At 46.1% G+C, this 15,102-nt stretch overlaps 1 protein-coding gene and 1 long non-coding RNA gene across 2 annotated transcripts in view, besides 2 other annotated features; one reads left to right on the top strand and one right to left on the bottom strand.

The window, feature by feature from the left end:
* Positions 1-7,095, top strand: part of SAP30L-AS1 (SAP30L and GALNT10 antisense RNA 1) — a 56,054-nt gene extending 48,959 nt beyond the window's left edge. The window contains exon 3 of the long non-coding RNA NR_037897.1: positions 3,850-7,095. This is a non-coding gene — a long non-coding RNA (SAP30L and GALNT10 antisense RNA 1). The remainder of the gene's footprint in view (positions 1-3,849) is intronic.
* The window catches only part of GALNT10 (polypeptide N-acetylgalactosaminyltransferase 10), a 230,252-nt gene that overhangs the window by 24,121 nt on the left and 191,029 nt on the right, over positions 1-15,102 (bottom strand). The window contains exon 7 of the mRNA NM_198321.4: positions 10,434-10,551. Within this exon, the coding sequence (NP_938080.1) occupies positions 10,434-10,551 (118 nt within the window). The remainder of the gene's footprint in view (positions 1-10,433; positions 10,552-15,102) is intronic.
* Positions 437-1,157: an enhancer, noted in NCBI's record as "H3K4me1 hESC enhancer chr5:153775267-153775987 (GRCh37/hg19 assembly coordinates)". NCBI's record gives its function as "activates a minimal SCP1, AML or CMV promoter by ChIP-STARR-seq in primed H9 embryonic stem cells {active_cell/tissue: H9 hESC(primed)}" and the evidence as "EXISTENCE:reporter gene assay evidence [ECO:0000049][PMID:30033119]".
* Positions 11,860-12,009: an enhancer, noted in NCBI's record as "active region_23476". NCBI's record gives its function as "activates an Ori minimal core promoter by ATAC-STARR-seq in GM12878 lymphoblastoid cells {active_cell/tissue: GM12878}" and the evidence as "EXISTENCE:reporter gene assay evidence [ECO:0000049][PMID:35858748]".

Genomic DNA, 15,102 nt, shown 5'->3' with positions numbered 1-15,102 from the left:
TGAGCCACCGCGCCCAGCCTAGTATTTTTATATGATACAGTTTTAAGCATATGTGCATCTAAATTAATAAATTAAACATAGGACTATCTCAACAATATCCTTAAGTGTTTATAGTTAGTTACTTCCCCAACAAGGGCGAGATGGTTACTTTACATTAGGTTTTGACTCAGATTTGGAAATACAGCAATCTCACAGCAACCCAGCGAGGGAGGCATGATCACACCCTTTACACATGAGGAAACCGAGGTTTAATTAACACTTTCCCCAGGGTTGCCCAGTGCATAAATGGCAGAACCCAAAATGGAACCTGGGGTTGGGTCAGAACTAGGCAGATCTGAGAGTTCCACAGAGACTGTGTTTTCCTAAGGTCTGGACCCACCCTATCATGGTCTTCCTCAAAGATCCCTAACAGCACTTGTATTGTCTGCAGAACAAAGGGGTCACCCTTGGCTTGCAATCAGGCCCTCTGCCACCTGCTCCCACCTATCACCTCCTACCCTCTCCATACCCGCTGGACTCCCTATGTGGATGCTGCTGACAACTGGCCGCAATGCATTCACTTTTCTGCCCTGGGGGCTTGTGAATTTTTCTTTCTGTGACTGTTGAAACCCCAAACAAACATTAATTACCTAATTCATTCATTCATTCATTCATTCATTCATACATGATCTGGTCATTGGTCAGGTTTGTTCTAAAAACCATGCTGGAAAAAATGGAACAGAAACGAACTGCCAAGGGTGGACCAAAGATACAGAGCCTTGAAAGCCGGGTGAAGGTATTGGAACTTGTTGGCCAACCTGCCAACCAACCTGCCCATTTACTCTGTCCTTCCACACCCACGCCTGAGCATCCTCTCTGCACAACCTCCCACCTATTCATTACAGCTGCGATTTTCAACCTTGGGCCTCATCGGAAGCACCTGCAGGGCATGTTGAAACACAGCTGGCTGGGCTCCACGGCAGCCTCTGACTCAGCAGCCTGGGGTGGAGCCTGGTAATTTGCATTTCTAATAAGTTCCCCGGTGATGCTAATGCTGCTCGTCCAGGGTTCACACCTTGGGAGCCACCGCGTACTGGAATGGTGACAGCGTCTCAGGTGACTGTGCCTGCCAGTTCACACTATATTTCCTAACAGCCCTGTGAATTTGGGATGATTGGTGCCCCTCTGTAGATGGCGAAATAAAAGTTCAGGAGAAAGGGCAGATGAGTCCAAGATCTCACAGAGAGTTTGTTCCAGAACAGGGCCTAGAGCCAAGGCCTTTTGACCTGTCTTGCCAGCCTCTTTCCACTCTTGTCTTCCTGCAACCACAGCCCGATCACAATAACCACAACCATGCTGACATTAACAGCTATCATTTAGCGAACATTTATTATGTTCCAGGCACTGAGCTAAGCTTTTAATATATTTTGGCTCATATCATGCTCACGACTGCACTATGAAGTAAAGATTATTCCATCCCCTAAATAATATAAAGAGGAGAGGTTAAGTCACTTTCCCAAAGTCACACAGCAGCTAGCTCATTGAATTTGCACTAGAACCCAGGCAGTTTGATGCTGAAGCCCATCTGTGTAATACTGTGCTGTTCTGCCTCCTTACCTGAGGGTTATGATCAGAACAGCTGCCACTTATTGAGTGCCTCCTCTTTGGTTAGCTCTAGGCCAAATATACATATCATCCCATTTAGTTCTTACAACAAACTTTTGAAGAAGTTATTTTATTACCACTTTTAGGGATGAAAGAGCCAAGGCACCATGAGGTAGGTGTGTGCTGGTTAGGGAGTAACATACACACAGGCGACCCTCGGGCCTTTGAGCCGTCTCCTTGGAGGAGTGGTGGGAGAAGCAGGCTCCACAGGCAGGGACACTCATGGAATTTCAAATGACTTGCCGAGAGTCATGAGCAGAATGCCTTCCCTGTTTCTAGCAGACGGCTCTTGCAAAGGCTGGGCATATGTGGCCCCAGGACGAAAATGCTGCATGTATCAGAGCATATTTCCATCATCCTTGGATAACACAGGGAAAGGAAGAAATGAGGACCAGGTTCCTGGCAGCCATGCTGCAGCTGTCCGAGGCAGAGGGTGCTGGTAGGGGCAGGGAAAAGGATGGGGAAATGTATTGCCATATAGTTGCCTGATGGTGGCCCTGGATATCCTTCTGGTGCTTGGGCTGGCCTTTGGCAATCATTTCTCCCTCCTGTGTGGCAACTTAACCCCTCTCAGGGCTGGTCCTGACCTCTGGGCCCTTCCTGGAACACGGGCCTCTCTTTAGACTGGATACACCTTTTCTCTACTCCTACCACCAGGCGGAATGAGATGAGCACTGGGCTTGGAGCCAGGGCATCTGGGATTTAGCCTTGGCACTGCCACCTTCCGGTGGAGGGACCCTGCCCAGTCACCTAACCGCTCTGGGCCAGGTTGCAATATCACCCTTGCTCAGCTTCTGGGTGTGTCCTGCCTTCTTTTCACACGTCCTGTTTCACTTAGTCTTCTTGATAACACTGAGTTTTATGGGAAAAAAAAAATCAGAGTTTTTTTTTTTTTTTTTTTAAGTCTGTTCACGTAGCCTGGGACTGGGCTAGCCTTTCAGTAACCATATCAGTATCACACAAAGCGAACCCCAGTCTCCTCTGAGTCTTCATTCCTCTACCCAGAGAATGGGTTTTCCTCTCAGAACAAGCTCAAAGACCTTCCTGACTTCTGCAGGGGAGGGTGTCCTCCCTCTCGTCCCCTCACATGGCTTTCTATCACTCCCTTGCTCCTGCAAGCCTGCCTCATGGAACCCTCAGACCAATCTCCATTTTGCCAAGGACGGTGGGGCCCACCTCTGCCTCTTGGAGCAGACCCTGCAGAGTTGCTCTTGGCGGCCTCAGGCCTTCCCTGGGAGTCTCTGCACTGCTGACTTGTGCAGAATCTCATCTCAGAGCTTGCAAATGGCCCCAACAATGTGCTGGAATGTATATGGATGGGGGTGGGCTGGAAGTGCTGAGAACCCAACATTTTCTTATTTTTTTTTTCTTTCCTTTGAGACAAGTTCTCACTCTATCACCCAGGCTGGAGTGCAGTGTCATGAACATGGCTTATTGCAGCCTTGACCTCCAGGCTAAAGGAATCCTCCTCCTACCTTAGCCTTCCAAGTAGCTGGGACTACAGGCACGCAGCACACCACCATGCCCAGCTAATTAAAAGAACTTTTTTTTAGAGATGAGGTCTCACTGTGTTGCCCAAAGCTGGTCTTGAACTTTTGGGCTCAAGCAATACTCCTGCCTCGACCTCCCAAAATGTGAGAATTACGGGCATGAGCCACTGTGCCTGGCCCCTTCTTCTTGTAACTTTTCCTGGTTACAGAAGTAATACGTACTTATGATGAACAAGTTCGATGTTGCAGACACACATTAGGTAGAAAGAGACGGCTGTACTTTGAAGACCTCCCACCCCCAAAGGCCACTAGGGATGAAGGGTTCATGGCACTGAGTCATTTTCAGAAGTGAGATGGGCTGGGCGCGGTGGCTCATACCTGTAATGCCAGCATGTTGGGAGCCCGAGGCAGGAAGACTGCTTGAGGCCAGGAGTTTGAGACCAGCCTGGGCAACATATGGAGACCCTGTCATTACAAAATATTAAAAAATTAGCCGGGAGTGGTGGTGTAGACCTGTAGTCCCAGCTATTTGGGAGGCTGAAGTGGGACAACTGCTCGAGCCCTGGGGTGTTGAAGCTGCAGTGAGCTCTGATCACGTCACTGCCCTCCAGCCTGGGCAACGGTGTGAGATCCTGTCTGAAAAAAAATGGGTTTTTTTTTTTTTTTTTTTTTGTGGAGACCTCCAATTTATTTTACGTAATATTTTCTTGTTTAGATATGCTCTAACTTATTTATCCCCAAAGGACGTGCATTTGGGTCATTTTCAATCTTCTGCTATGGTAAGTAACACTTCAGCAAATAAATCTTTGCTCATCACTGTCTCTCTTATATAAACTCCTGGGCATGGAATTTCAGGTCAAAGAATGTGCTTGCTCTGAAATGTAATGGATTTTGCCAAATTGCTATTCACAGAAGATATACCCACTTACACTGCCCCAAAGCCTACATTTTTCTCACTTTAGTTTGGTCACATTGTCCTGGTTGGATACTTTCTGTCTCCCGTATCTCATAGTTGGAGATATCCTAACCATGGCCTCCTGGGGACACTGTGCAGTTTCCTTTCTGCTCATCCTGCTGCCTCCCCCCCTAATCCAAACAACCCCTCATATCTGTGTATGTCAGAGGGCTGTCCACACAGCATCTCATTTGATCCTATCTTGTGGGGTAGGAAGGAAAACCGTATCAGCACAGTCTGGGGTATGAGGACCAGAGGTGAAACAACTGGCCCAGGGTCCTAGGATGGAAGGAGAGCCTCCTTGCTGAGCACTTTCCCACCATACACCATTGTCCAAAGATGGCCTCCTAAGTCTGGGAAGGGTAGTACCAAGGAGGTATATCAGTTGGAAGTGATGCCACTAACACACTAACACTTACTGAAAACACTGATGTGGGCCAGAGACTGGGGATATAGAGGTGGACAAAACCTCCTCCCTGCCTCCAGGGAGCATGCAGAGATGGGAGTGCAATGTGGGGTAGTTCCTAGGCAGCATGGGGAGCCATCTATATAAGCTGAGATTGGAAGGGTGAATGAGGGTTGGCCAGACTAAGGAATGGCATTTCAGGAGTGTACAGTGTGGGCCTGCAGAGAGGGGCTGGCCCGTAAGCCTGGTTCTTACATGCAGTCTTGTCTGGCTGGGTAAGGTAGACATCTACGGTTTGCTCTGCCCCACATCCATTCTCCCTTCTGGGCACAGCACCTGGACTTTCCTTTGGGTAACTAGCCCATCCCCACCTTCCTGCAGTCACAGGGCATGTGACTGCAGGTGACCAATTGCAGTATTGTTCAGGGATGGGCATGGGGCCAGCAGGCCAATGAGACTCAACCTGGGGACTTGTACAAGATGATGGGAAAAACACTCTCCTTCCATGGGCTGCTGAGGATCTCCATGAGAAAAAGCCCACCTGAGAGGGAAGCCAACTCAGATGAAATAGGGACTAGGCATTGAGAGAGACCTAGCCCGAGTGAGATGACTGAGTCCCTGCATCCAGCCCGGCCTTAGGGTCTACCCTGGAATTTCAGTTATGTGAGCCTATCAATTCTGGTTTTTGCTTAAATCAGATTGACTAAGGTTTTGGTTATCTGTAAGCAAGAATCCAGACTAATGCAATGGGATAAGAGGAAAAGGGGAAAGGAGAGAGCAGTAGGGCCAGCTCATGAACCTAGCTGGAGCTAGGCTATGGAGTTAAAGACTTGTCCAACCACTAGAACTAGGAAGATTCTGACTTCCACGTGAGAACTTTGCTCTGCTGAGAGAGACAGACAGAGAAGGAGGGAGGGAAAGGGAAAGTCAATGACTTTTCTAGAAATTTCAGAGCTGTTGGGACACTTTTTGGGGATTTTCTCATCAGGATAGAGAATCCGGTCTGGAATCAGCCCTCAGCCCTGAAGGTACGTGTTGATTGATCTTAATTTCTGAAAATACACTCATGCCTTTCAGACCAGGCTTCTCTCTGTCACCAAGAAAAGGGATCTTAGCAGAGATGAATCAGAGGGAATTCGGTCCTTCGTAAATGCCAGCTCTGGCTGAAAGAGAACACCTGCATTCCAGCAGGGCGCTGCCAGGGATGAATGGGCTCACCTGTTCCCCTCAGCCCTGCAGGCAGTCTTTCCACAGGGTCCTGGGAGACAGTGCACTGGCAGATGGGCTGTTGCTGGCTCCAGAAACTCTCCTTTTCCAAGCCAGGAGAGAGAAAGCCCAGGGAGAAAAGTCTCCCTTCCGGACCTCAGGAGCCTCCTCATTACACTGTCTCATTTCCTCTGGAGAGTGACGGACATAATTGGATCAAATGGAAATGTAAGCCAGCCTCCTTCCCCCTCCCGGATGAGATACTTCCAATATGGCTTCATTACCAAGTCTATTGTAAATAACTGTGGAGAAAAATGCCATTTGTTCTGCCATAATTGCCTGATGAGCATCAGTAGATGGGTCTTTGAAACACATAGAATGAAATCATTTTGGGCTGGTTTAGAAATTCCTTTGTGCAAATCTTTCTCCATTCACTGTTCTCCATGGTGGGGGTTCTGAAGAGGGTCTTCTAGAGCAAGGAGCCAGTTAGGAGCTTGGAGGCTGATTCTGGCCAGGGACACACTTACTTGGAGTATTCAGCCAATATTTGTTAACTGCTGTCAACTAAAGAAAAAAAACGAAGCTTTTAAAGAATTAAAGTTAGTTTTATTTAGAAGTCTTCTTGAGGATTATAGACCAAGGCCTGTAGCCTGGGAGGAGGCTTTTAGAAAGGTTCTCTCAGACTCCTCCAACGTAGTATTTTAGTTTATACATAGGTGGTGAAGATTTAGTATGTGAAAAATTACATCAAGGTTTGGGTGTTAGAGTACATCTGGTTATAGATTACAGAAACATAGTCACTATTCTTGTCGGGTGTTATTTTATGAGTAGAGAAAGGCGAGGACTAGGGTCATTTATCTTTGATGGAATTAGTGACTCAGGCGAGAGACATGGGGGGCCATGCGTTCTATCCTGTTTTGCCTTTAAAACATTTTTCCAGAGAGCTGCACAGTGTCCCGGAGTCAGGGGCTTTGTGAAATTCTCCCAGCAAAGGGAAATGGGCAAACACGGCCTCTTACATTTGCCACTTTGTTTCACGAAGTTTTTGGTCATAAATTGTTTGGTTGTGTTGGTAAGAATTAATGTTGATTGCCATCTGTAGTTAGAAGGGCTCTTGTTTAGGAAGGTTGGTAATTTTTAGTTGTAGTTGTATCAGACCTAGTGTGTTTTTTAGCCTTTTCTTGGAAAATATGTTTTGGACTGAGTTTAGTTCTCATTAGTAGGATGCAGGGGGTTTTTGATGGTGTCTTTTTTTTGTATTTAATACAATATTTTAATAGGATTATTATGAGGATATTATAGATTCTATACAGTAATACAGACTTCATAGTAATAAAGTCTGTTGTAGACTGGAAAAAATATGATATTTAATAAAATTGGAATATATATTTGTATACTTTTAATTGTATTATTTTTTATACTTATATTTATTGGAGTCTTTTTTATGAAAAGCAATGTTGGACTAGAATTTATTGTAAATGCCTTTATAGAAGAATTTAGAATAATAATTCTAAATAAGTGAGAAAAATAGAATAATCCCAGTTAAAATTTGATAAAGGTTTTTGATTTTTTTTTTTTTTTGACATGGAGTCTCGCTTTGTCGCCCAGATTAGAGTGCAGTGGCACGATCTCGGCTCACTGCAACCTCTGCCTCCCAGCTTCAAGCAATTCTCCTGTCTCCACCTCCTGAGTAGCTGGAATTACAGGCATGTACCACCACGCCTGGCTAATTTTTGTATTTTTAGTAAAGATGGGGTTTCACAATGTTGGCCAGGCTGGTCTTGAATTTAGTTATTTTATTATATGTAGTATTTTAACATGATAACCAGAATTATGGCTGACAGTGTTATATCAGAACTACTAGACTTTTATACATTTTACATATTTTTAGAATATTTATAAGATATTTATATAAATATAATTTTAGAAAAGATTTAATACAATAATAAAAATTATGACTCATAAAAATTGGTCTCATAGTGTCTTTTCTGTGTTGGACCAGGCTTTAGGTACTTGGGATATGGCGGTGAGTGAAACACAAAAAGATCCCTCCCCCACTGACTACTCTTTGCTGATAAGCTTGGAAGCAGCCTCAGAATGCATATCAACACCCACCTGGGGCAGCCCCTACCAATGGATCAGAGTTGGCCTGGCAGGGAGTAGAAACCTATTTGCTGTGTCTCTCTCTCTGTCTCTCTCTCTCCCTTTCCCCCTCCCTCTCTCCCTCCCCACTCCTTCTCTCTCTCTCTTTCTTTCCTTCTTTTTTTTTTTTTTTTTAATGAGATGGGGTCGTGTTGTGTTGTCCAGGCTGGTCTCAAACTCCTAGGCTCAAGAGATCCTCCCATCTCGGCCACCATTCCTGGCCCTATTTGCCACTTCCGACTTAGATTGTTATTAATTCCATTAACTAAGAAATTGCAGAATATCCAAGTAAACTAGGAATAATACCAGAAGAGGCAAAAAAAAAAAAAAAATCCCAGAAAGGGTGAGGCAGAGGTCCATAAAACATGGCAGGTTTTCAGAACAGTCTGGGTATGATTTAAACAACAACAAAAATAGCAGGTCAGAGCGTGGGCTTTGGAGTCAAGCAGACCTGCGTTTGGGCCCCAGTTCTGCTTCTTCCGGCTGTGCGAGGCCTTGGTCTGAGCTTTGCTTGCCTTCCTGGTGAAACGGGTATAATAATGATACAACTCTCCTAAGGTTGTTGTGAGGATTAAACAAGTCAGCATGTATGAAGGGCTTGGCACACTGTCCTGTTAGCTATGATCAGGACCGAACTTCACTTGTTACACGCTGGAGTGGATGCACCATTGTTTATAGCTGGTATCTGTTCTGACTGGATGTGCTTGTGTTATCACAGTTGTTACATATTTTGAACATTACCCTTATGTGAATATTAATTTTATTTAGGGGGCTGGTCTCCTTATGGGAGACAACTTCAGAACTCTGGTGGTTAAAATAGATATAAACTGGCCAGGCACAGTGGCTCACACCTGTAATCCCAGCACTTTGAAAGGCCGAGGTGGGTGGATCACCTGAGGTCAGGGGGTCAAGACCAGCCTGGTCAACATGTCGAAACCCTATCTCTACATTAGCTGGGCGTGGTGGTGGGCGCCTGTAGTCCCAGCTACTCAGGAGGCTGAGGCAGGAGAATCACTTGAACCCAGGAGGTGGAGGCTGCAGTGAGCCAAGATCGCACTACTGCACTCCAGCCTGGGCAGCAGAGTGAAACTCCATCTCAAAAAAAAAAAAACAAAAGAAAAGAAAAGAAAAAAAAAGGATATAAACTGCTTTTCAAACCTAAATAACATCAAAAGAATTGTAGGTTTTTTTTTTTTTTGGGCTAATCAAGAATTTATGTTCTCCAGTTCTGAACTACTCAACCACTGTTGCAGATAATAATATTAATGTATTGATAATAATCTTTAGGATAATTTATTAAGAAGCACCTAATAAGCATGGTCTCACTTAATCCTCTCAACAACTCTGTGAGGATTAACGTTTCATTAAACCCACTTTATGGAAGTAGAAACCAAGGCTCAGTGAGGTGAGGATTCCTTGCCCAAGATCACACAGCTGGCAGGACACGGCAGAGCTAGGATCTGATCGTGGCACTCTGGCACCAATACCAAAGCCTTAATTCACTGTGCCTGACAATGGTCCTTTGCACTGAAAGTTGAGGCCCGATGAGGGGGCATCAGAGTTGTGTGTTCACAGGGGTCAGATCAGTAATGGTGCTATCTGTCCCTTGTGGGCTGGGGATATGCCTTAGCCAGGGGTCTAAGCTGTTAGAAGCTGACTCTGACAGGCCACAAGGGCATGGGACAAGCTAACCCTCCCCTCAGAAGGTCCAAGCTTTCACTTGAGAACAAGACAGACTCCCACAAATAAAGTGGAGAATGTAGCCTTGGAAGTTTGGGTGCTTAATTAGTTATTAGTTAACTAGTAACTCCTTTACCACTACTGTCAGAAAGCTTCCAGAGTCCATAGGCTGGTCAAGTAGGTTACAGTAAATATTTACTCACCGAAACTTTAACAATTTCTACCAATTATTAATTGCTGGTCATGTTCCCAGGTTGTATGCTAAGCACTTTCTAGACATGATCTCATTTAATCTTCACGATAGCTCTGTAAGCTAGGTAGTATTATTATTCCCTTATTTCAGATGAGGAAAGAAAGCTCGGGGGGGTGATCTAACTTGCCCAAAGTCAGATAGCTCCTGATGATGGAGCTGGGATCTGAATCCAGGCCTTTGTAACTTTACAACTGGAGCTTATGCTCACTGGTCTTTGTCAAACTCCTAGAGCAACAGGTACAAAGGGAAAACTTGGGGTGACTGAGAGGACTCCTCTAGGCCTACGTATCCTGTTTGGCCTTCCTAGCTTCTCTGGCCCACTGCTTATTTGCTGGACATCTCAATCTCAGACCTGCCATCTGAGTAGAAGCAAGACCTTATTCCAACATCTTAAGAAGACACAAGGCAAATGCCAGTCAGAGCTGTGGTGAGGACCAGCCTTTGGCAGCTGGAGAGTACTCCCCTTCCCTCCCACACCCCCCCACCCCACAACAAAGAGTGGCCCATGAGCCCCTGTCTTCTTCACCTGATGGGCAGAAGGGCTACAGAACCCTGAGGCCTCCAGTCTTTCCAAGCTCAGGCAGAAGCTGAGACACCTACTGGGACAGGCACTCAGGAGGCTGTGCCAAGAACGGGGCGTCTGGAGAGCTGGCTCACCTTGAAGGAGATTTCATACTGCTCCCCTCCCCAGATCTCCAAGCCTGGGTCATACCCGCCGAGTTCCCAGAACCACTTCCGATCCACGGCGAACAGTCCACCGGCCATCACGGGAGACCTGTCAGAGAAGAAGAACATGGTGTGAAGGTGCAGATGTCCTGGCCACATGCTCTCATGTGGCCCGATAATGCCATTCCCCCAGCGGCGGTGTTCCATGCTGCTCCCTGAACACAGTCCAAGTGTCTTCCAGGGAATCCAAGGCCCTTCCAGGCATCCCCCTTTCTTTCCTACAACTTCCTTTCATAAGAGCTACATTTTAACCAAATGGGACCCGAAGTTCCTTTACACAATTAACACCTAAGAGTACTTGTGAAATGAAATCACAGTACTTTGTCCACATGGGCCCTGTAGCTGCATCATAAATATGTACATGTTAGTCCTCTCACTAGTTAAATGGTCCAAGTTGGGGGTCTCTCCAAGCCTGTCTGTGTTGTAGAATCTCTTAGAGAGATGAAAAAATATACAGCTCGCTGGGCCCCACCTCAGACCTGCTGAAACAATCCTTGCGGGAGGCAGCCTAGGGCTCTGTGTTTTTGAACATGCTCCTTTGACAACTATTACTCAGTAGGCCAGCATGGACGTTTGTTCTGCTGTGGTGTTTACAGAAGAAGCCACTGTCTCTGTCTTTTCAGTTAAACTGGGAGATAAGATTAACTCCATTCATTCATTCTCTAATGAGTTTGTTCATCCCATGCCAGTTGTGAGGGAGGTGCTGGAAGAATCTCGAGGTCAATGAGAGTCCTTCAGGAGATGTTGGTGTAGTGGGGCAGCCCCCTCAAGACAGAGGGTGCATAAGGGACTCCGGGAGGTAGAGACAGCATTACAGGAATCTGAAAGGAGTGTGTCTGTTTCCAGCTTTTGGGGTAAGGAGGATGGCTGGGGCAAGGGTCAAGGAATGAGGCTCAGGGGAGGTGGCATTTAAGTGGGTTTGGACAAGAGGAAATTTGGGAGAGGGAAAGGCACTGAGGGGAGGATAAAACGTCAGCAAGGACACAGAGACGACAAATCATGCAGTACCCACGGGAACAGGAAGTCCGCCTGGCACCGTGCTAAGTGAGGAAACGTCATGCTGCTGACTGTCAGCGTCCCCCAGGGTATCTCGCACAAGACTGGCACCTGGTAGGGGCCAACCAGCGTTTGCTGTGTGAAAAGCTATCAGAGTGGCTGCATCCTTGTCTGGATGCACTGGAAAACTCCAAACCCTCAAATCCAAACATTCCAGCAGCAACCTCCATTCCCCCTCCTGGTCCCTGGAAGTGCAAGCTCATGGGAAGTAGGCTGATCGAATAAGCTCTTAGTCAACCCAAAAGCTGCCCAAGCAGCTCCTCCTTCCAGTAGCAGATGAGCCTTTACAGCACAGGCAGGACTCCTTTAAAAGGGGAGCCCCTGAATATTTACTGAGGGCTTGAATATGCCGGGTGCTGTACGGAGCTAATTTATTAATAAAATGAATTTACTCTTCACCTCGACCTCATGTGGCAGGCCTCATTATCATCACCATTTTACACATGTAAAACTGGAGTGCAGACAGGGAACTTGCTCAAGGCCCCATGGCTAAAAAGCAGCACTGCTGGGATGTGAATCTCTAATCTAAGCCACAGTTCACACCCCTCGCCACCACAATATACTGCCTCCAGGCAGGCAGGAACACTCGAGAAGCAGGTGATGCATGCAAAGAACAGGGCGTGAGAAATTCGGAACCCTCACTCTCATTTCTGCTTTCCTTAACCTGCTGTGTGACCTGAGATGCAGCGTTTAACCATTAACCCTGTGCTACCCAGGAAGGAAGCCACTGGCCACAGGTGATGACTCTGCACTTAAAATGTGACTGGTATGAACTGACATGTGCTGTGAGTGTGAGATACACACCAGATTTCCAAGACTTAGGATGAAAAGAGTATGAAAGAACTCATTAATAATTTTAAAGTGTTGGTTACATGTTAAAACGATAATATTTGAGGTATACTGGTTTAAATAAGATACATTATTAAGATGAATTTTACCTGTTTCTCTTTACCTTAGAAAATAATATCACATATGCAGCTTGTATTATATTGGACAGTGCTGATTTAACCTCTTTGAGCCCTATTCCCCATCTAAACAATGGAGTGATAGCTATACTTCCTATCCCACGTTGCTAGTGATACGGTTGGCTACGTCCCCACCCAAATCTTATCTTGAACTGTAGTTACCGTAATCCCCAGGTGTCATAGGAGAGACCTGGTGGGAGGTAATGGAATCATGGGGGCAGTTACCCCCATGCTGCTGTTCTCATGATAGTGAGTGAGTTCTCATGAGATCTGATGGTTTTATAAGGGGCTTTTTCCTCTTTGCTCAGCACTTCTCTCTCCTGCCGCCTTGTGAAGAAGGATGTGTTTGCTTCCCCCTCTGCCATGACTGTAAGTTTCTTGAGGCCTCCCCAGCCATGTGGAACTGTGAGTCAGTTGAACTTCTTTTCTTTATAAATTACCCAGTCTCAGGCAGTTCTTTATAGCAGTGTGAGAATGGATTAATACAGCTAGAATATTTCTAAAAGTACCCAGTACTATAAGAAAATAAGGTGTTATTAGTATTGGCTCCCCTTTGTCTTCTGGAGATTGAGGGGGTCCTGGTTTTTTTTGGCTGGAGCCACAAATCTACCGCTTGGAAAGGCTGACAGTGTTTCTGACTTGGTGCTTCATGGGAGACTGAACTCAAGGCTTTGCACATGAAAATCAGCCTCGGTCAAAGCAGGGGCCGGGGCTGAGGGGCTGCATGGAATAGGCAGGATATCAGCTCTAAGGCATTTGGGATGCTCGAGGCTTTGCCTCCAGAGAGAGGCCTCTCTGCCCAGCCTGTTCTGGTTTCTGCTGTGTTTGGCAATACTAGTAACAATTCTGAGTGTCCAGTGTGTGCTACTTACTTTACTGACACCATCTCCAGCTCTCACAAAGCTCTAATATTAGTCTCCTTTACAGACGGAGATATTTGAAAATCAGAAATGTTAAATAATCTGCTCATAGTGAGTGGATAAGCTATTACTGAAAGTGGGGTCTGCCACTGAAACCATGTCTTTTAAACATCCTTGCACCATGCTGTGCCTGTAGATTGCCCACTTGCTGGGCACTCTACCATCAAGTGGGAAGGTGGGAAGCTGTACAGAAAATGACCAGAATTTCTCTAGTGGCCACTTCCTAGGGTTCTGTCCAAGTAAAAAGCAGAAGAGAGACTTCTGGAAGGAATCATGGGAGAGGATGGAGGGCCCTTCAGAAAGCATCTACACCAGTGACTGCCAACCATGGCCACACATAAGCATCACCTGGGAGCTTTAAAAAATGATGATACCTGCATCCCACCCCCAGACTCCAGTGTAACTGCTCTTGAGGGAAGCCTTTGTGTTTTTACAAGCTCCCCAGGTGATGTCAATGTGTGGCTAGGGTCAAGAGCCAGTGCTCTCTGGTGAGGCCAATCACTTCAATATCCAGATGAGGAGACTGAAGCCCCAGAAGACACTAGCTGGGCCTTTGCTACTAGCCAGCTGTATGACCTGGTCTTAGCCTTTCCTTACTGTGCAATGAGGATAACGATGGGCCAAGACCTGTCCTTAAGTACCTTTCAATGAGTCTGCTCATTGCAAAGGTTCAAACAATAAAGGAGGTTCTAATTACCCCCTTGGTTACCCTGAAAATTCCATTTTCTGGAGCAGCCTATTCTAACCTCAGCTTCTGCAGTCATGTCAACTAGGACAAGTCTTGTTTCCTCTCTGAACCTCAAGGCCTCCATCAGTCAAATGAGGGTAATTCTACCTAGACCTGAGGATCCTACATTATTATAAGGATCATGCACAATAATGGTCAGTAGAAATTGCTTTGCCAACACAGGCCAAATGTTAGTTACTCCTGGTGTTGGTATTATTCTACAAGGATTTAGGTCAACTGAGGATTGATTCTGAGGTACACAGAAGGTGGGGCAGACTGCATAATGTGATCATGGCTAAATCATATCTTTGGACCAGGAAGGGATCTAATAGTAGTGATCAACTGTGTTCAAGAGGCCAAGAGAAGACCACAAATGTTTGACCTGCTGCTGGAGACATGGAATCCATTCTTGCTCTCCACTCTTGGCTCAGGCTGGTCCATTGTCCTGGCCACCTTTCATTTCCTCAAAGAACCCAACTCTTTCTACCTCTGAGCCTGCCCTGGGGCTCATAGTGTTAGGGGTTCCTCTCAGGAGCCCTGGGTATGCACCATGCCCATGAAGATGGCTGAGCTTCCAACAGTCCTGCTTCTCAGATGGGGAGAGTAAGGCATAGAGAAATGTGGTTCACTGAAGGCCAAACTGTGGTGAGAGGTACGACTCCCCAGTTATGGCAGTGTCTGAATCTCCGGAACCTGTGAATATGTTACCTTATGTGGCAAAAGAGACTTCGCAGATGTGATTAAGGTTAAGGATCTTGTGGTGGGGAGGTTATCTTGGCGAGCCTGATGGAATCACATATCATTAATGTAATCACAGGGCTTATAAGTGAAAGAAGGAGGCAGGAAAGTCAGAGTCAGAAGGAGATGTGATGAAGGAAGCAGAGGTATGAAGGAAAGCAAGGAGAAGGAAACAGAGATCTGAAGATTCTATC

The sequence above is a fragment of the Homo sapiens genome, chromosome 5, assembly GCF_000001405.40.
Source record: "Homo sapiens chromosome 5, GRCh38.p14 Primary Assembly".
Classification (NCBI taxonomy): Eukaryota; Metazoa; Chordata; class Mammalia; order Primates; family Hominidae; genus Homo; species Homo sapiens.
The sequence above is the reverse complement of the archived record's forward strand: the minus strand, read 5'-3'. Positions and strand labels throughout refer to the sequence as shown.